We start from the raw sequence: 18,526 nt of genomic DNA on the forward strand, positions 1-18,526 counted from the left end.
AAAAGAAAAAGAAAAAAAATAATTATGGGTATTAGAGAATTTTACTAAAGACTTTAATTCTTAACCCAAAGTTACAAATGATACTGGAATTTCAGATTCTAGGCAGAGCCTAAGGAAGAATATTTCTAGGCAAAGAAGCCTTTCCACAATACTTAGTGATAGCCACAAGTGGCTGTCGTTAAGAAAATGAACCGTGCCACAGTTGATAGCTCTCACCTCCATCCTCAACCCCACATGGACTGGGGCTTCTCACCTCTCTCCTGGAAAGCCTGGGACTCCTGAGTCTCAGTCTTGCACTGGTTCTCTAAGGGCTGCACCGGGCTATTCAGAGACAGAGACTTCAGTGCTCCTGTGGATGTCATTTCCTGCCAGAACATTTCTTGGCCATGAGTTGTGTCCTAGGAGTAATCAAGTACCAGCACTATCATTCTGAGGATACACAAGCAGAAAACTCCTAGAGCAACAGGGCAGGAACAGAAGAATCAAAAACTCATTCAAATGATTAGAGAGAAAAAAAACAGGACCTTAAGAGCCCTAGTGACTTGAACCCAATGAGTGAATAATTAATAACCCAAAAGAAAGAAACTGTATAATTCTCTGAGAGCTGAGTCAATGCCCCAGTCATAATTATGGCTTCCCCATTAACTTACAATAGATCAAACAAACAAAAATGTTTACTTCTTACCTGTTGCCTTGGCTCCTCCAGTTCTTTTTCCAGCTCCTCCAGCATAGTCACAGCTTCCTCTCCATTCTCTGGCCGATGCTCTCGCAGCCAAGCTTGCAGCTCCTCAGGAAGGATGGCCAGGAACTGCTCCAACATCAGCAGCTCCAGGATCTGCTCCTTGGAGTGCACCTCCGGCCTCAACCACTGACAGCAAAGCTCTCGCAGCCGGCTCAGAGCCTCCCGAGGGCCAGTGGAGTCAGAGTAACTAAACTGCCTGAACTTCTGCCGGAATACCTCTTGGCTCCAGGGGTTTTCCTGAAGGCCAAAGTCCTGGTCCAAAACATAATTTTCTTCTTCAACCTTGACAACTAGAAGTCCTTCCTGTTCTTCTGGAGCATGGTAGGCCAAGACTGTGGCCTCTCCTGACATTCTGGGCAGAGACAGTCTGAAAAGGCTGCCCAGGTGAGGCAGGGAGGAGATGGAGATTTGCGTCTGAGAGATTCCTTCTGAATTCCAACTCCCCAGGACGCTCCTGAGGGTGGACAATGCTCATGTTACACAGGGAAAATAATGTACTTGGAATATAAATACAGGTTTTTGAAGCCCAGTTGCCAGGGAGCATAGCATTGTAAAGAAAACTGACTAACAGGGCACTTCCACATAAATGATACATTTATAGATGACTCAGGATTTTTTTAGGATGTGAAAGAAAAATGTTAGTATGGCTGAAATCAATTTGGCCTTTAGTAATACTGTTAGGAACAACATTAGGGATAATAAAATAGTGCTTGTAGATTATAGAGAGCAAGAAAAGCACTATAGTATATGATTACATCTCAGAAATAACCACCATTTTATTGATCACTAGCTTGATACTTAACATAAATTTTATATGCTTTTCCTAACAACTCTATAAGGACAATCAAAATTATGCCCATTTTTGCCAGGCACGGTGGCTCACGCCTGTAATCCTAGCACTTTGGGAGGCCGAGGCGGGAGGATCACGAGGTCAGAAGATCGAGACCATCCTGGCTAACATGGTGAAACCCCATCTCTACTAAAAATACAAAAAATTAGCCGGGCGTGGTGGCGGGCGCCTATAGTCCCAGCTACTTGGGAGGCTGAGGCAGGAGAATGGCATGAACCCGGGAGGGGGAGCTTGCAGTGAGCCAAGATGGCGCCACTGCACTCCAGCCTGGGCAACAGAGACTCCGCCTCAGAAAAAAAAAAAAAAATTACGCCCATTTTCCTAACGAGGCTACTAAGTCATAAGTTGACCAAAGACAGCCAGGGAGCAGCAGAACTGGGCTCTGCAACCAAAGTCTTTAGCTCTTTCTATTATGCTATGGGGCATCCCAAAAGAAGGGAACTCACACTTAATAAACACCTACTATGGGCCAAGCACTTTACAAATACTATTTTACTGGAGCTTGACAATAACACCATCAGGTATTATCATCTCAATTTTACAAATGAGGAAACTAAGGTTCTTAAAAGCCAAGTAATTTGTCCAAGGCTACAAACTGGTAAATAGCAAAGTCGAGACATGAACCCAGGCTGCAACTCTACAGTACTTGCTCTTTTTATTTCTTTTTATTACAGAATGGGTTGATGCCCAGGACAATCTTGGCTGATACTAAATCAGAAATGATGGTGAAAATGTTAGGAAGGGATCATGGAGAATGGGCAAGGTGAATGTAGAAACAAGGAAAAATTATTCTTGACTTTTAAGTCGCAAGGTTCTGAAACAGCACAAAGAAAAATGGATTCTTTCAACAAATACTTCAGCATTTACTCTGTGCTAGATAGCGTACCAAAGAGCAGTCTCAGAATTAAAAGATGTGTACCAAAGGACTCTTAGTTTATTATGGGAAAGCAACACGTAAACACAGTGATAAATCCAAGGACGGAGCGAAGTAGACAAGGTAGCACAAGGGAAAGATGACTGACCAAGACCAAGGAGAAAGGGATGGGAAGAGCCAGAAAGAGCTGCCTGGAGGAGACATCTCAGCAGAGTCTGATATGAGTGAGCTGAGTGAGATGGAGAGGAAGGTCACCCAGGCAAAGTGAAAATGGGTATGAGAGAATGTGGCCCACTGAGGAAACTGAAGGTAGTTTGGGGAGACCAGATTAATGGCTGTCACTTCTGACTACGGCTCAAAATCAGCCATGAAACATGAACCGCAAGGCAGACTTCCTGAGTCAGAATCTCCATGGGACAGGGCTTTAGTAAGTGCCACAAGAGCTTCTGATGAGCAGCCAGGTTAAGAACCCGGTGCCAGACCCTGGGGCACAGTTAATGAATGGTGAGAGAGGAGGTCTGAGAGGTTGAACTACAGAGTTTGCATTGATCCCCATGGCCACAGTGATGGCTGGAAGGTCTGTGTGCCCACCCAGAGAGTGGCGTGGAGAAGACATGGGAAGGGGTTTGTTGCAACCATTCAGAAGAGAGACTGTGAGAGACTGAGCTATGGGAGGCAAAAGACAAAAAGACGGGAGATTTGACAGGACTTGACACACCGTATAAGGGCTTGGAAGAGAGAGGGGTCAAGGACTCAAGTTTGTGGTTGGCCCTTGTGACTAGAGGATGATGGTGCTATTTGCTGAGCTATTCATTAAGAAAGTTAGGTCTGAGATGCCTACGAAGCAGCGTCTCCTAAACCGTGCTTTGCCAGGTATTAATAGATTTTTCATACATATCTAAACACAAGAACCCTGGGGATATTTCTCCTAATTTTTTTTTTTTTTTTTTTTTTTTTTTTGAGACAGAGTCCACTCTTTCGCCCAGGCCAGACTGCAGTGGCGCTATCTCGGCTCACTGAAAGCTCCGCCTCCCGGGTTCACGCCATTCTCCTGCCTCAGCCTCCCGAGTAGCTGGGACTACAGGCGCCCGCCACTGCGCCTGGCTAATTTTTTGTATTTTTAGTACAGACAGGGTTTCACTGTGTTAGCCAGGATGGTCTCGATCTCCTGACCTCGTGATCCTCCCGCCTCGGCCTCCCAAAGTGCTGGGATTACAGGCATGAGCCACCGTGCAGGGCCTTCTCTTAATTTTTTAGTGTAAAATACTAGAGACCAAGCACAGTGGCTCATGCCTGTAATCCCAGCATTTTGGGAGGCCAAAGGCAGGAGGATCACTTGAGTCCAGGAGTTTGAGACCAGCCTGGGCAACACAGTGAGATCCTGTCCCCTCTTGGCTTCCTCGGGGAGCCAAGAGGAAGGCTGAGACCCGTCTCAAAACCGAGCTTTGGCCACGTGAGAAGTGGCAGGAAGGAGCCCATTGGCGAGTGTCAGACTCCTGAGCCTGCAGCCCGACACAAGACACGCTGGGTAAGCGCCTGAGGAGTCAGCTGACCAAAAAGGCGGGGTGGCTGAGTGGGCAAGTGGAAATGGATGGCGGGACTGACCGACGGAGAGGCGGGCGGGACCCCAGATACAGCCGAGCCCCGGCCTGTGGCCGAGGGGTCGAAGAAAGGCGGCGCGGAGGCCGGATGCGGGACAGGGGCGGTTTGGGAAGCACCCGGGACCGCCCTGCTGGACCGCCCCACTCACCCTTCGCTCTACCGGCGGCGGCGGGAACCCACCCCCGGGAGCGAGAACAATGCCCGGCCGCACGCGCGCCGGAAGTGGGAGAGTGCCCCTCTAGGAGCCCGGAGGACCGCAGCTCTGTGGCAGGCGCGGGTCGTGTCTCGCAGGAGGGGCGCGGGTCCGGCTCAGACCTGGCGGGGGCATCGCAGAGTACAAGCGGTTGACGCGCTGCTGAAAGGGTGGGGAGCATAAGATACATATTAAATATAATTATATATTCTATATATTTTAATACATAAAAATATACGTATATATTCAAACATATTTTTCCTCGTTATGTCGCGGGCTGGTATACCATCGAGAAAATAAAAACCGAGAACCCATGATCTCTACATTTTGAGAGGAAGAGGAGCTGACCACGCTCACCGCGGACGTGCTGACTGCGAAGACGACAGTCCTAGGAGCTGCGGAAGGGCTGGGGCGGGGACGGGTCCTGCCCACGAATGCCGAGGACGCCAGGTGCTGCGGAGGGGTCGGGATGGGGGGCAGGAGAAGCTGTAAAGATTTCCTGGTGGACTCTGCCCTCGAGCTGCCCGTGGCCGCGTGCTGGATGCTGACACAGCAGGAGGAGGAGCGCCACGGGTTTCCCGCGTAGGAAGCGACAGGAGCCAGGGCACAGCGGGGCGGGGTTCAGGGCACGCTCGGAATTGGCCCGGCATCTTAGCTGGCCAGAAACTAGGCCAAGGGGTTGGTTAGAGTGAGTTAGGTTGTGGAGAGTGTCAAATACCAGGCTCAGGTGTTAGAAATGCATTGAATCATCAGTGCAGGGTATTCACATATAACATGGCTGGAACAGTGTTCAGGGCGGTGTCTGTACCGTATAGAGTGGATTAAAGGACAAAAGAGATGAAAGAATACAGGTGACCCATGAATTTAGCAAAATGTAATAATCTGTGAAAGTATGATTGAAAATAGGGCAAGGGATGACATCGCCAAGGGAGGTCTTTTGGAAAATAAACGGGATTGTGAAATACCAACGTTTTGGAATGGGGAAGAAAAGGAGTTCGAGAAGAGGAGCTACTTAGGGAGCGCCCAGATGGTTCAAACATCATAAAAACAACAGTGTTTCAGGAGACGGAACACTGTTGCTTTGCTGCAGAGAGCCGAAAGAGGGTGAGAACTAAGCTGATGGTGGAATTTGGGGGAATGACAGAGGAGGGCAAGAGAGAGAGATGTTACCTGTGGACTGTCCTTTCGAGTGGTTCAGAAGAGTTGGTAAGACTAAAAATAGACAATAATCTCTTTTGAGAATTGTGATACTGCAAGAAAAGAAAAAGAATATTGGTTGAACTAAGCAACCGGATTTAAAGTATTCTTATTTTCAAGGGTAGTGGAAAGCTAATTTGTAGAAAAGAAAAGGTAAAGTTTAGTAGGCACAAGAAATTGAAGATGGAAGAAAAGAGATACAGCTGATGGGGAGGAAATGAGACCAGATGGGCTGGTGAAGTAGTTTGTCTCAGAAAAGAAGGAAGTGATTTGTTCCTGAATAGGAGGAAAGTGGAGGGTGAGTGCAAGAGAAAAGGGAGAAGTTGAAGATGTTTATGTCAGATGACTCTGACCACAAAGGTGTTAATCAGAAGATGTTACAGTTGAGCCAGACTTTGAAGAATGTTACAACGGCCAATGACTGGAAGAGACGACTTCAAGTGATGTTCTGTATCTACTATCCAATATGGAAGCCATTAGCCATTTATGGCTATGTGTAGGAAAGCTGCCTGTTGCATGGCAAGAGTAATGCTATCTTGAAGTGAAACATCATAATAACCAGTGTTTGACTCTTGCATACCAAGGCATTCCCCCAGCAAGGTGAAGAAACAATGCCTATAACATAGATAACCCCTCATAAAGAAACAATACCTGTAGCATAGAAAACCCCTCATAAAGATCCTTATCTAATTTTCCCACTGGTCAGAGTTTTGCAAGAGGGTCTCAGACATGACAAGCTGCACGTTTTACCAAAAAAAAAAAAAAAGCTTGCAATAGAAAGAATAATATCTGCAGGGCAGGTATGGGGATCCACCATCTTAAGTCCTTTTATCCCTACCAAATGTTTCCTTCTGAGAAACTGCATTTGTCAGCTCAGCTCTCTCAACCTCTGGGAGTAGGTTTACATATATTTGCTCACTTGATATATGGCTGATAGGAACTGAGCAAGTAAAATTTTCATTTCATTGAATTTTAATTAATTTACATTTAAATTGCTACATGGGATTAGTGGTTCCATACTAGACAGTGAAGCTAGCCTGTACTTGTTAAAAAGAACCCAATGAGTGAAATGAACAAAGTAAACATAGCACATTTCTAATGAAGCACATAAAATAATGAGTGGCCAAAAAAAAAAAAAAAGACTGTAAAGTTGTCTTCTATGTAAAAAGTCCATAAGGTTTATACACAGAACATACTCAATTTGTTCATTCCCTTAAAGGATCTAGCAACACACTTTTTAATGTAAGTACCCAATTTCCCCATTTTTAATGAACAGATGAATACCAGTATCTGCTAACACTGTGGGGTGGGGAGGGGAGAGTGATATATACCTAAGAAAATTAGCAACTTCATCAATAATAAACACTTCTCTATCATTTATTTATTTTCTTTTAAAAAATGTATTAACACCTGAATAATGCATGGATTTTAGATAATGAAGTATCAATTTTGGTCAACTAATTTTGACAAATATGTCACATCAGTGAAAGATGTTAATAAAAAGAAATGAATGCGAAAGTATATGGGATCTCTCTGTACTATCTTTGCAATAATAGATAAATTGAATTTTAAAATATCTTAATAAAAAGAAGGCAGAAATAGGGGAACGAGGGAACAAATACCTTGTCTGCCTTTCTTTGCTGTGGGGTTTCAATAACCTGTTAGACTTACACGCCATATCCTCTGTATCTCTTATCTGCTCTTTTTAATTTTTGTTTCTCATTTGCATATTTTACCACCTATTTTCCAATCACTAATTCTTTCTTTAGTGATAATGTACTTTTAAACATATTCCTTGAGTTCTCAATTTCTGTCATTGGATTTTTTAATTCAGAATTTCTCTTTGGTTCAAGTTCACATCCATTATTTTATTTATTTTTTGAGACAGGGTCTCACTCTCTTGCCTAGACTGGAGTGGAGTGGCACCATCTCAGCTCACTGCAACCTCCCCCTCCGCGGCTCAAGCAATTCTCCTGTCTCAGTCTCGCAAGTAGCTGGGATTACAGGCACAGGCCACTACTGTGTCCAGAATTGGTGGGTTCTTGATCTCACTGACTTCAAGAATAAAGCCGCGGACCCTCGCAGTGAGTGTTAACAGTTCTTAAAGATGGTGTGTCCTGAGTTTGTTCCTTCTAATGTTCGGACATGTTCAGAGTTTCTTTCTTCTGATGGGTTCGTGGTCTTGCTGGCTTCAGGAGTGAAGCTGCAGAACTTTGCAGTGAGTGTTAACAACTCTTAAGGTGGTGCATCTGGAGTTTGTTCCTTCCTCCCGTCCGGAGTTGTTCATTCCTCCCAGTAGGTTTGTGGTCTTGCTAGCCTCAGGAGTGAAACTGCAGACCTTCACAGTGAGTGTTACAGCTCATAAAGGCAGTGCAGACCCAAAGAGTGAACAGCAGCAAGATTTATTGCAAAAAGCAAAAAAACCCTCCGCACTGTGGAAAAGGACCCCACCAGGTTCCTGCTGCTTGCTGGGGCAGCCGGCTTTTATTCCCTTATCTGGCCCCACCCACATCCTACTGATTGGTCCATTTTACAGAGAGCTGATTGGTCCGTTTTATAGAGTGCTGATTGGTCAATTTTGACAGGGTGCTGATTGGTGCGTTTACAATCCCTGAGCTAGACACAGAGTGCTGATTGGTGTATTTACAATCCTCTAGCTAGACTTAAAAGTTCTCCAAGTCCACACTAGATTAGCTAGACAAAGAGCACTGATTGGTACATTTACAAACCTTAAGCTAGACACAGAGTGCTGATTGGTGTGTTTACAAACCTTGAACTAGACACAGAGTGCTGATTGGTGCATATACAACTCTCTGGCTAGACATAAAAGTTCTCCAAGTCCCCACCTGACTCAGGAGCCCAGCTGGCTTTGCCTAGTGGAACCCGTGCCAGGGCCGTGGGCGTAGCTGCCTGCCAGTCCTGCACCGCGTGCCTGCACTCCTCAGCCCTTGGGCAGTCGATCGGACCGGGCACCACGGAGCAGGGGGCGGCACCCGCCGGGGAGGCTCCAGCTGCGTGGGAGCCCATTGCGGGGAGGGGGGGCGCTTGGGCATGGCGGGCTGCAGGTCCTAAGCCCTGCCCCATGGGGAGGCGGCTAAGGCCCAGCAAGAATTTGATTGTGGCGCAGGCAGTTCTGTGGGACCCCGCGCCCCCTCCGCAGCTGCTGGCCCGGGTGCTAAGCCCCTTACTGCCTGGGGCCGGCGGCGCTGGCCGGCCGCTCCAAGTGCGGGGCCCGCCGAGCCCGCGCCCACCCGGAACTCGCGCTGGCACGGTTCCCGCCCACGCCTCTCTCTCCACAGCTCCCCGCAAGCAGAGGGAGCCAGCTCCCCCTCGGCCAGCCCAGAGAGGGGCTTCCACAGTGCAGCGGCTGGCTGAAGGGCCCCTCAAGCATGGCAAGAGCAGACGCTGAGGCCAAGGAGGTGCTGAGAGCGAGCGAGGGCTGCTAGCCCGTTGTCACCTCTCACTACCACCTGGCTAATTTTTTGTATTTTTAGTAGAGACAAGCTTTCACCATGTTAGCCAGGCTGGTCTCGAACTCCTGACCTCAAATGATCCACCTGCCTTGGCCTCCCAAAGTGCTGGGATTACAGGTGTGAGCCACCGTGCCCGGCCCATATCCATCATTTTAGAAAGTTTTTTTTTTTTTTTTAGATGGAGTCTCGCTCTGTGGACCAGGCTGCAGTGCAGTGGCACAATCTCGGCTCACTGCAACCTCAGCCTCCCAGCTTCAAGCGATTCTCCTGCCTCATCCTAGCTGGGATTACAGGTGTGTGTTACCACACCCAGTTAATTTTTGTATTTTTAGTAGACACGGGGTTTCACCATATTGGTTGGCCAGGCTGTTCTCAAACTCCTGACCTCAAATGATCTGCCTGCCTCAGCATCCCAAAGTGCTGGGATTACAGGCATGAGCCTCCGTGCCCGGCCCATTTTAGAAAGATTTTTATGGTAAAACACACATGCCATTAAATTTACCATTTTAACCATTTTTAAGTGTACATTTCTGTATTAGTCCGTTTTCACGCTGCTGATAAAGACGTGCCCAAAACTGGGCAATTTACCAAAGAAAGAGATTTAACTGGACTTACAGTTACACGTAGCTGGGGAGGTCTCACAAACATGGTGGAAGGTGAAAGGCATGTCTCACATGACAACAGCACAAGGGAGAATGAGAGCCAAGCAAAATGGGTTTCCCCTTATCAAACCATCAGATCTCATGAGACTTATTCACTTCCACGAGAACAGTATGAGGGAAACCACCCCCATGATTTAATTATCTCCCATTCCCTCCCACAACACATGGGAATTATGGGAGTACAATTCAAGATGAGATCTGGGTGGGGACACAGAGCCAAACCGTATCAACTTCAGTGGCATTAAGTGCATTCACAGTGTTGTACAACCTTCACAAACATCCATCTCCAGAACTTTTTTATCTTCCCAAACTGAAACTCCATACCAATTAAACAGTGATTCCCCATTTCTCCCTCCCCTGAGCCCCTGGCAACCACCATTCTACTTTCTGTCTCTATAAATTTGACTACCCTTAAGTACCTCAAATAAGTGGGATCGTACAATATTTGCCTTTTTGTGACTGGCTTATTTTACTTAACATAATGTCTCCAGGTTTATCCATGTTGTAGTATATGTCAGATTTTCCTTTCTTTTTAGGGCTGAATAATATTCTATTACATGTATACACCACATTTTATTTATCCATTCATCTGTTAACGGACACTTGGGTGGCTTCGCCCTTTTGGCTGTTTTGAATAATGCTACTATCATTATAACAGTACCTTTAATCCATTTTTAATTTTTGTATATGGTGTAAGGCAAGAGTCCAACTTCATTCCATTGTATGTATCCGGTTTTCCCAGTATCATTTCATGAAAAGACCACCATTTCCACCATTGAATGGTCTTAGCAACCTTGTTAAAAATCAGTTGACCACGTGTGAGGGTTTACTTCTGAGTGCTCTATTTCATTGGCCTGTATGTCTATTCTTATGCCAGTACCACACTGTTTTGATAATTGTAGCTTAATTAAATCAGGAATTAGAGTCTAATAAGTCATTCTAAAAATAGCTTCTGGTTTTCCATCAAATTCTTTTCAATCTTGTCTTTTACGTCCCTGAATAAAAAACAGTATTTTATCCAAATCTAATTATCCTAACATAAGAAACTCCAGTGATTCTACTTCTATCGTCAATTGTTTCTGCTGGTTGTTCTTAGCTCGGTTGCCTGGTTATCTTTTATCAGGAATTTTCATGAAAAGTTGATGGGGAAATAATTTGAAGGTACTCCTCTTCTTTATTTTTTGAGACGGAGTCTTGCTGTTGCTCAGGCTGGAGTGCAGTGGTGCGATCTCGGCTCACTGCAAGCTCCGTCTCCTGGGTTCACACCATTCTCCTGCCTCAGCCTCCCAAGTAGCTGGGACTACGGGCGCCCGCCACCATGCCCAGCTAATTTTTGGGGGCTTTTTTTTGCTTGTTTTTTGTTTTGGGTAGAGACAGGGTCTCACCGTGTTAGCCAGGATGGTCTCGATCTCCTGACCTCGTGATCTGCCCGCCTCAGCCTCCCAAAGTGCTGGGATTATAGGCATGAGCCACCGTGCCCGGCCGAAGGTACTCCTCTTCTAGAGAGAATCATTGTTTGCTTCTGCCAGCTATCTGGGAGCTCCAATAATTGTTGGTCATCACAAACCAGTTTTAGGTATTGAGATTTTTCTGGGTCAACCAGATGACTTGCAGTTGGGCTACAGTCTGTGGAAGGGCTGGTTTACTACAAGTTCACCTTTATTCCTAGAATGTAGTTGATTTTGGGTATAATTCAAAGTACCAAGGTCCCAACCCTTAGTCTCTGATTCCAACTTTCTTCTCTCTAGTCCTATGAGGCTATCAAAAATGCCATTCAGTACCCTCAGCTGCCTCTTCCAGATAAGCAAATAATCTGAAAGTGAAAGCCCACTAGATGCTTTGGTTCACCTCACTGGACTTAGATCATTTCTTGGATCTTGTTCTAGTATTCTGTACTACCTTGACAGTTCTAATGCCTTCCAGCTGATTTCATATTTTTATATGGATTTACTGGTTGTCCTTAAGGGAAGTGTGATCCACATTACTCACTGTACCAATAATGGAAGCTGAGTTCTGTGACTTTAATTTTCCCCTAAAAGATAGTATCTTTTGAAGAATAATAAGTTTTTAATTTTAATGTAGTCCAATTGAAATTTCCTTTTTATATATATTGGGCTTTACTGTCTTTTTTAAAGATTTCCTTCCCTACTCTGAAGTCATAAATATACTTTCACATATTTTCTTCTACAAATTTTACAAAAAGTTTGCTTTTCTCCCATGTATTTAATATACTTGCTATTTGCTTTGTGTGCAGTTATGAGGCAGAGATCTACAATAAGTATTTCTAGATGAATAACTAATTATCCATTAATCACTTACTGAATTGTCCTTCTTATCTATGCTGGTTTTCATGCCAGCTCATTCAACTACATTATTCATCTTTGATCCCACATATAGTGTTATGATGGAGATGGCTATAGGCTATTCCATCCATCTATAAAGTTAGCATCATAAGAATGATTAAGAATACATGAACACTACAGGTCACTCAGTATTGCTTATCAATCTTATGTTTTTCTAGTAAGCTCACCTTTGCACGAAGTTTATTTCAAGCCATTTTCTCAAGCATTATTCTCCTCACCCCTCATTCTTAAATGATGATATAACCTCCTTCTTCCCAATGAATTGGAATGTCCTCAGTTTCCCACTAACTTACCTGAGCTTGCACCCATTCTCTCCTATCATCTTAGCATAGGAGAAGGGCCACTCATATCTAAAGACCTATTCTTCCACTTGTATCTTGGATCCCATCTCCTTCCCCATCAATCATATGCCATCAACAGTTCATTCTCTTCCTGTGTTATCTACTCTCTCTCTCCTGGATTCTTCCTGCTATCTTTTACACATTACATATCTTTCCTATCTTAAAAATTATCAAGCCACCAACCAAGCAAATAAACCATCCCTAAACTCCACTATTACCCTATTTCTTATTTTCTTTTATTCATAACTGACTTATTGAAGTTGGTCTGTAATGACATTCTCCATTTCCAGATATCCCATTTTTTTCTCATACTGGTTCTCTTCAACGTTTGTTTTTTATGAAGAGGTGTTGGATTTTGTCAAATGCTTTTTCTGCATATTTTGTCCTTTATTCTGTTGATATGGATTTGGTTGATTTTTAAACTGATGCTCAGATGGATTCCTGGGATAAATTCCACTTGGTCGTAGTAGAAAATCCTTTTTTATATGTTACTGAATTCAGTTTACTAGTATTTTGTTGAGAATAAGACATACTGGTCTGTAGTTTATGTTTCTTGTGATGTATTTGACTGATTTGGATATCAAAGTAATATTAGCCTCATGAAATGAGATGGAAGATATTCCTTCTTCTTGTTTTGGGGAGGGGAAGAGTTTGTGAAGAACTGGTATTAATTCTTCTTTAAATGTTTGGTAGAATTCACCAGTGAAGCCCTTGGGGCCTGGGCTTTTCTTTGTGTGCCTTTTTTTTTTTTAAATTACTAACTCAATCTCTTTATTATACATCTATTCACATTTTCTATTTCTTCTTTAGTCAGTTTTCTGTCTGCAGGGCATGTCAGAGACCTTCACAGCAGCCCCTCCCATCACAGGGCTTGGGGCTTAGGAGGAAAAAATGGTTTTGTGGGTGGGGCCTAGGGCTCCCCTGCTGTGTGCAGCCTAGGGACTTGTTGCCCTGCATCCTAGCCGCTCCAGCCATGGCTGAAAGGGGCCAACGTAAAGCTCGGGCTGTGGGTTTAGAGAGTGCAAGCCCCAAGCCTTGGCAGCTTCCACATGGTGTTGAGCCTGTGGACACACAGAAGTTAAGAATTGAGGTTTGGGAACCTCTGCCTAGATTTCAGAGGATATATGAAATGCCTGGCTGTCAAAGCAAAAGTTTGCTGCAGGGGCAGAGTCCTCATGGAGAATCTCTGCTAGAGCAGTATGGAAGGGAAATGTGGGGATGGAGTCCCCACACAGAGTCCCCAACAGGGAACTGCCTAGTGGAGCTGTGAGAAGAGGACCTCTGTCCTCCAGACCCCAGAATGTTAGATCCACTGAAAGCTTGCACCATGCACCTGGAAAAGCCACAGACACTCAATGCCAGCCTGTGAAAGCAGCCAGGAGGGGTGCTGTACCCTGCAAAGCCACAGGGGCAGAGCTGCCCAAGGCTATGCAAGCCCACCTCTTACATCAGTGTGCCCTGGATGTGAGACATGAAGTCAAAGGAGATCATTTCAGAGCTTTAAGATTTGACTGCTCCAATGGATTTCAGACTTGCATGGGGCCTGTACCCCCTTTGTTTTGGCCAATTTCTCCCATTTGGAATAGGTGTATTTACCCAGTGCCTGTATCCCCATCATATCCAGGAAGTAACTAACTTACTTTTGATTTTACAGGCTCATAGGCAGAAGGGATTTGCCTTGTCTCAGACTTTGGATTTGGACTTTTGGGTTAATGCTGGAATGAGCTAAGACTTTGGGGGACTGTTGGAAAGGCATGATCATGTTTTGAAATGTGAGGACATGAGATTTGGGAGGGGCCAGGGGCAAAATGATATGATTTGGCTGCGTCCCCACCCAAATCTCATCTTGAATTGTAGGTCCCATAATCCCCATGTGTCATGAGAGGGACCCAGTGGGAGGTAATTGAATCATGGGGACAGCTACCTCCATGCTGTTCTTATGACAGTGAGTTCTCATGAGATTTGATGGTTTTATAAGGGGCTTTTCCCCTTTTGCTTGGCACTTCTTCTTACCACCATGTGAAGAAGGATATGTTTGCTTCCCCTTCTGCCATGATTGTAAGTTTCCCGAAGCCTCCCCAGTCATGCTGAACTGTGAGCCAATTAAACATCTTTCCTTTATATATTACCCAGTCTCAGGTATGTCTTTATTGGCAGCATGAGAACAGACTAATACAGTAGGCTATACCATCTAGGTTTGTGGATGTATACTCTATGATGTTCACACAAAGACAAAAGCACCTGATGATGCATTTATCAGAATGTATCCCTAGCATCAAGCAAAAGATGACTGTACTTCCTTCCTTCTGCTGTTCTGTTGCTGTTGTTTTTAAGTTTGCTCTCATTTTTAGTTTCTTAAGGTGGAAGCTTAGGTTTAGATAATTTTTTTTCTAAAATAGACATATTAAAGCTATAATATTTCCTCTAACCATTACTTTTGCAGCATCCCATAAAATATTTTATGTTGTACTTCACTTTTATTCAGTTTAAAGAATTTTCTAATTTCTCTTATGATTTCTTCTTTGGATCATGGTTATTTATATTATGTTATTTAATTTCCAAATATTTGTGGAGTTCTCAAATTATGCTGACTCAATATGCCCTCTGGGTCAGTGGAATCCTCACTGTCCCCAACCTCTTGGTCTATAGATACCCAACTGGTCCTATCTTCTAGACTCTAAGAGGCTTCACTGGTCCCTGAGCCACCCTCAGCTGAGGTGGCCCTGCCATCTCTGCCCTTGGTAGTGTCCCCACCCTCTGGGTACCTCGTTTCCTGCTTTTGTAATACCAGAAGTTGGACAGCTTTTCTTCTTTTCATCCTGTCTCTGTCCTCTTCAAAATTAGCAGTGTTTCTGGTGATAGCATTGTCAAAATCCTTGTCAGTTTTCCATAGATTTTAAGAGAATCCATACAATTAGGCACAAGGATTCTCTATGGATCCTTCCTGGATAACCCAATTTCTATCCTGGATTCTGCTGAAATAGTTAATTGGATCCATAAATCACACACCTAATCGCTTCACCAAAACGTTTGTCCCAGTGCTGTCTCCAGAGCATGCTATCTGAGATAGGCTGAGAAATTTCCAAATCATCAAATGATTTTTGCTTAACAGTTTCCTCCTCAGTGTATCTCTTTCCTCTCATATTTTACCATAAGAAGGAAGGAAAAAACAAGCTACACCTTCTACTCCTTGCTTGGAAATATCCTCAGCTAAATACTCAGGTTCATTAGTTACAAGTTCTACTTTCCACCCAATAGCACAGCATGATTCAGCCAAGTTTCTGCCACTTCTAACAAGGATTGCTTGTTCTCTAGTTTCTAATACATGTTCCTCCTTTCATCTGAGATCTCACCAGAAGTATCTTTAATGTTCATTATTTCTAGCAGCATTCTCTTCATAGCAATGTATGTATTCCCTAAAATGTAACTTTCTCTACTGTCCTCTTTACTTCCTTCTGAGCCCTTACCAGAATCACCTTTAATCCTCCTATTTCTACAGTCTCTTCAAGGCTTTTTCTATTAAGAATTTCAAAACTCTTCCAGCTCAATCACTTACTCAATTCCAAAGCCACATCTATATTTTTAGATATTTGTACATAGCACCCCACTTCTGGTACCACAAACAAGATGGCATAATAGAAATGTATTCTCTCATAGTCTGGAGGTTAGAAGTACAAGATCAAGGTGCCAGCAGGGCCATACTCTCTCTGAAAGCTCTAGGGAAGTGTCTGTTCCATCCCACTGTCTTAGCTTCAGGTTGCTGGCAATCATTTGCATTCTTTGCCTTTTGGATGCATTACTCCAATCTCTGCCTCCATCATCACATGCATTCTCCTCTGTCTCCTCTGTGTCTGAATTTGCCTATCTCATAAGAACACCAGGCATTGGATTAAGGCCCACTCTAATCCTTTATGACCTTAACTTGATTATATCTGCAAGGGCCCTGTCTTAGGCCATTCAGGCTGCTATAACAAAAAATAGCATAGCCTGGGTAGCTTATAAACAACAGAAATTTATTTCTCATAGTACTGGAGGCTGGAAAGTACAAGATCAAGGCACTGAAAGATTTGGTGTCTGGAGAGGGTCTGCTTCCTGGTTCATAGAAGCCATCTTCTCACTGTGTCCTCATACGGCAGAAAGCCTTGGAGCACTCCAAGTCCTATTTTATAAAGACACTTAATCCCACTCATAAAGGCTCTGCCCTTATAACCTAATTACCTCCCATAGGCCCATGTCCAAATACTATCACATGAGGAGTTACAATTTAATATATGAATTTTGGGGGGACATAACATTCAGCCTACACAGACCCTATTTTCAAGTAAAGTTACATTCACAGGTAATGGAGGTTAGGGCTTGAACCTATCTTTTGGGGGGATACAATTCAATCCACAACAATGTGATTAACATAAACCAAGATTTATTTAAACCACTGTGGGCCAGAAGCAGTGGCTCATGCCTGTAATCCCAGCAGTTTGGGAGACTGAGGTGGGTAGACTGATTGAGCCCAGGAGTTCAAGACCAGCCTGGGCAACATAGTAAACCCTGACTCTACAAAAAAATAGAAAAATTAGCCAGTCATGGTGGCATGCGCCTATATTCCCAGCCACTTAGAAGGTTGAGGTGGGAGGATCACTTAAGCCCAGGAGGTTGAGGCTGCAGTGAGCTGTGATCACACCACTGCACTCCGGCCTGGGTGACACAGTGATACTTTGTCTCAAAAAAAAAAAAAAAATAGAGAGGAGAGAGACAGAGAAGGCAACCACCATTTATAAAAAGAGAGAGAGAGGCAGAGAGAGAGACATAGAAGGCAAGCAACACTTACTGAAAAAAAAGAAAGAAAACACACACATACACACACACACACAAAACACCATGACTTGGCTTTCAGTTATTTAACAGATAAAGATTTTTCAAGGTGATGCCAATGACCTTACTGATAAAAAACAAAGGGAATTATCTGACCTGAACTCAACTTTAAAGATCTTGGGGAATTATAGTATTTCTTGATACAAGGCCAGTCACTTCTGTCAAAGTGAACCTTGGGAACTGTGATTACACTGGCCATTATTTTCTTTTCTGAATCAGAGTTTTCAGCACTGGTTCTGAGTTTTAGGAAGTCAGTGTCAACTGGACATGCACACTGACATGTCAAAGATGTCTTATTACCCATAATTTAAAGATCTTATTCACAACAAACATGTTAATACTTGTTAATATTTATTTGAGCAGCAGCCTACTTGTTAATATGAGCAAAAGGCAAGTTAATTTTTAATGTGGCTTCACAATTTTGATTTATTTCCTTTTTTTCCCCAGAACTGGAAATTGATTTTTAAATTGAAATCCCTTCCTTGTGAAAATTGTTTACACAGTCTAAGTATCAAAGAAAATTAATTTCCAATACAATACATGATAAGCAAAAGTCCACATGTAGGTCTTTATGTTCATTTATCTGAGGAAGAAGTCTGCAGTTTTCATCCTTTTCTCAAATAAATTTACTATCTCAAAAAGATTGAGAATCACTGCTCTAGAGCGTATGCCTAAGTTAGACATATATTAGTACACATGTTAGTTTGACCTAGTTTCCCCCAAGTGAAATGAGAAATAGAATTCAGGTAGAATATTGGTGGTGGCCTATCAGTTTCATTCTTGAGAATTTTATATCACTTCCCATGCCTGTATTATCACTGCTAATCTCTCTGGAAACCCTTCAATTCCATTTACTTCATTGAGAGGAACTTCTTCAGTGTCAGCTGATATGGACCATAGTTGGCTCAGATTTGTTTTGGCCAGTCCAACAAACAAACTCCAGGTTAGCTCATCAAACTCACACACAGAAAGCAACATCTCTGGCAACACTCCACAAAGCTACAAATCTAACATAATCTGAAAGAATGGTTTGGCTTCCTTGGTCAAACACCCAAAAAAATCTACATTCATATCATCACTTTTGGGTAAAAGGTTAACAAAACACTTTACCTTTGTACATGAGAATTAACCTTTGGTTAATTTTCTCATTCTGTTTTATTGAAAACTTATTAATAGGTCAATTATGTTACCCAACAATATTGTTTATGGTAAAAATGTTTCCTGATTACCAAAAGAATTATAAATGAACTATAAATATTGACTATGCTAATGGATACTATAACTTTGGGCCTCCCTGAGTATAGTGACTCTTGTAATTGGCATGTCTCTTACAGAAATTCTAGAAGCTATGTCCATGGAG

At 43.5% G+C, this 18,526-nt stretch overlaps 1 protein-coding gene across 7 annotated transcripts in view; it reads right to left on the minus strand.

The window, feature by feature from the left end:
* ZSCAN30 (zinc finger and SCAN domain containing 30) overlaps positions 1–18,526 on the minus strand; it is a 39,168-nt gene that overhangs the window by 12,198 nt on the left and 8,444 nt on the right. For 3 of the 7 annotated variants that reach the window (XM_047437267.1, XM_047437266.1, XM_047437268.1), the window contains exons 2-4: positions 4,249–4,423; positions 686–1,196; positions 254–398 (exon numbers count right to left, since the gene is read on the minus strand). The exons of 1 other annotated variant lie outside the window; for it this stretch is intronic. In XM_047437267.1, the coding sequence (XP_047293223.1) occupies positions 254–398; positions 686–1,093 (553 nt within the window). In that variant the 5' untranslated portion in view covers positions 1,094–1,196; positions 4,249–4,423. Of the gene's footprint in view, positions 1–253; positions 399–685; positions 1,197–4,216; positions 4,424–18,526 lie in introns of all 7 variants that reach the window. 3 more of the 7 variants (XM_005258183.5, NM_001112734.4, NM_001166012.3) reach the window with 2 other exon arrangements.

This window comes from Homo sapiens, chromosome 18 (assembly GCF_000001405.40).
Source record: "Homo sapiens chromosome 18, GRCh38.p14 Primary Assembly".
In the NCBI taxonomy this organism is placed as follows: Eukaryota; Metazoa; Chordata; class Mammalia; order Primates; family Hominidae; genus Homo; species Homo sapiens.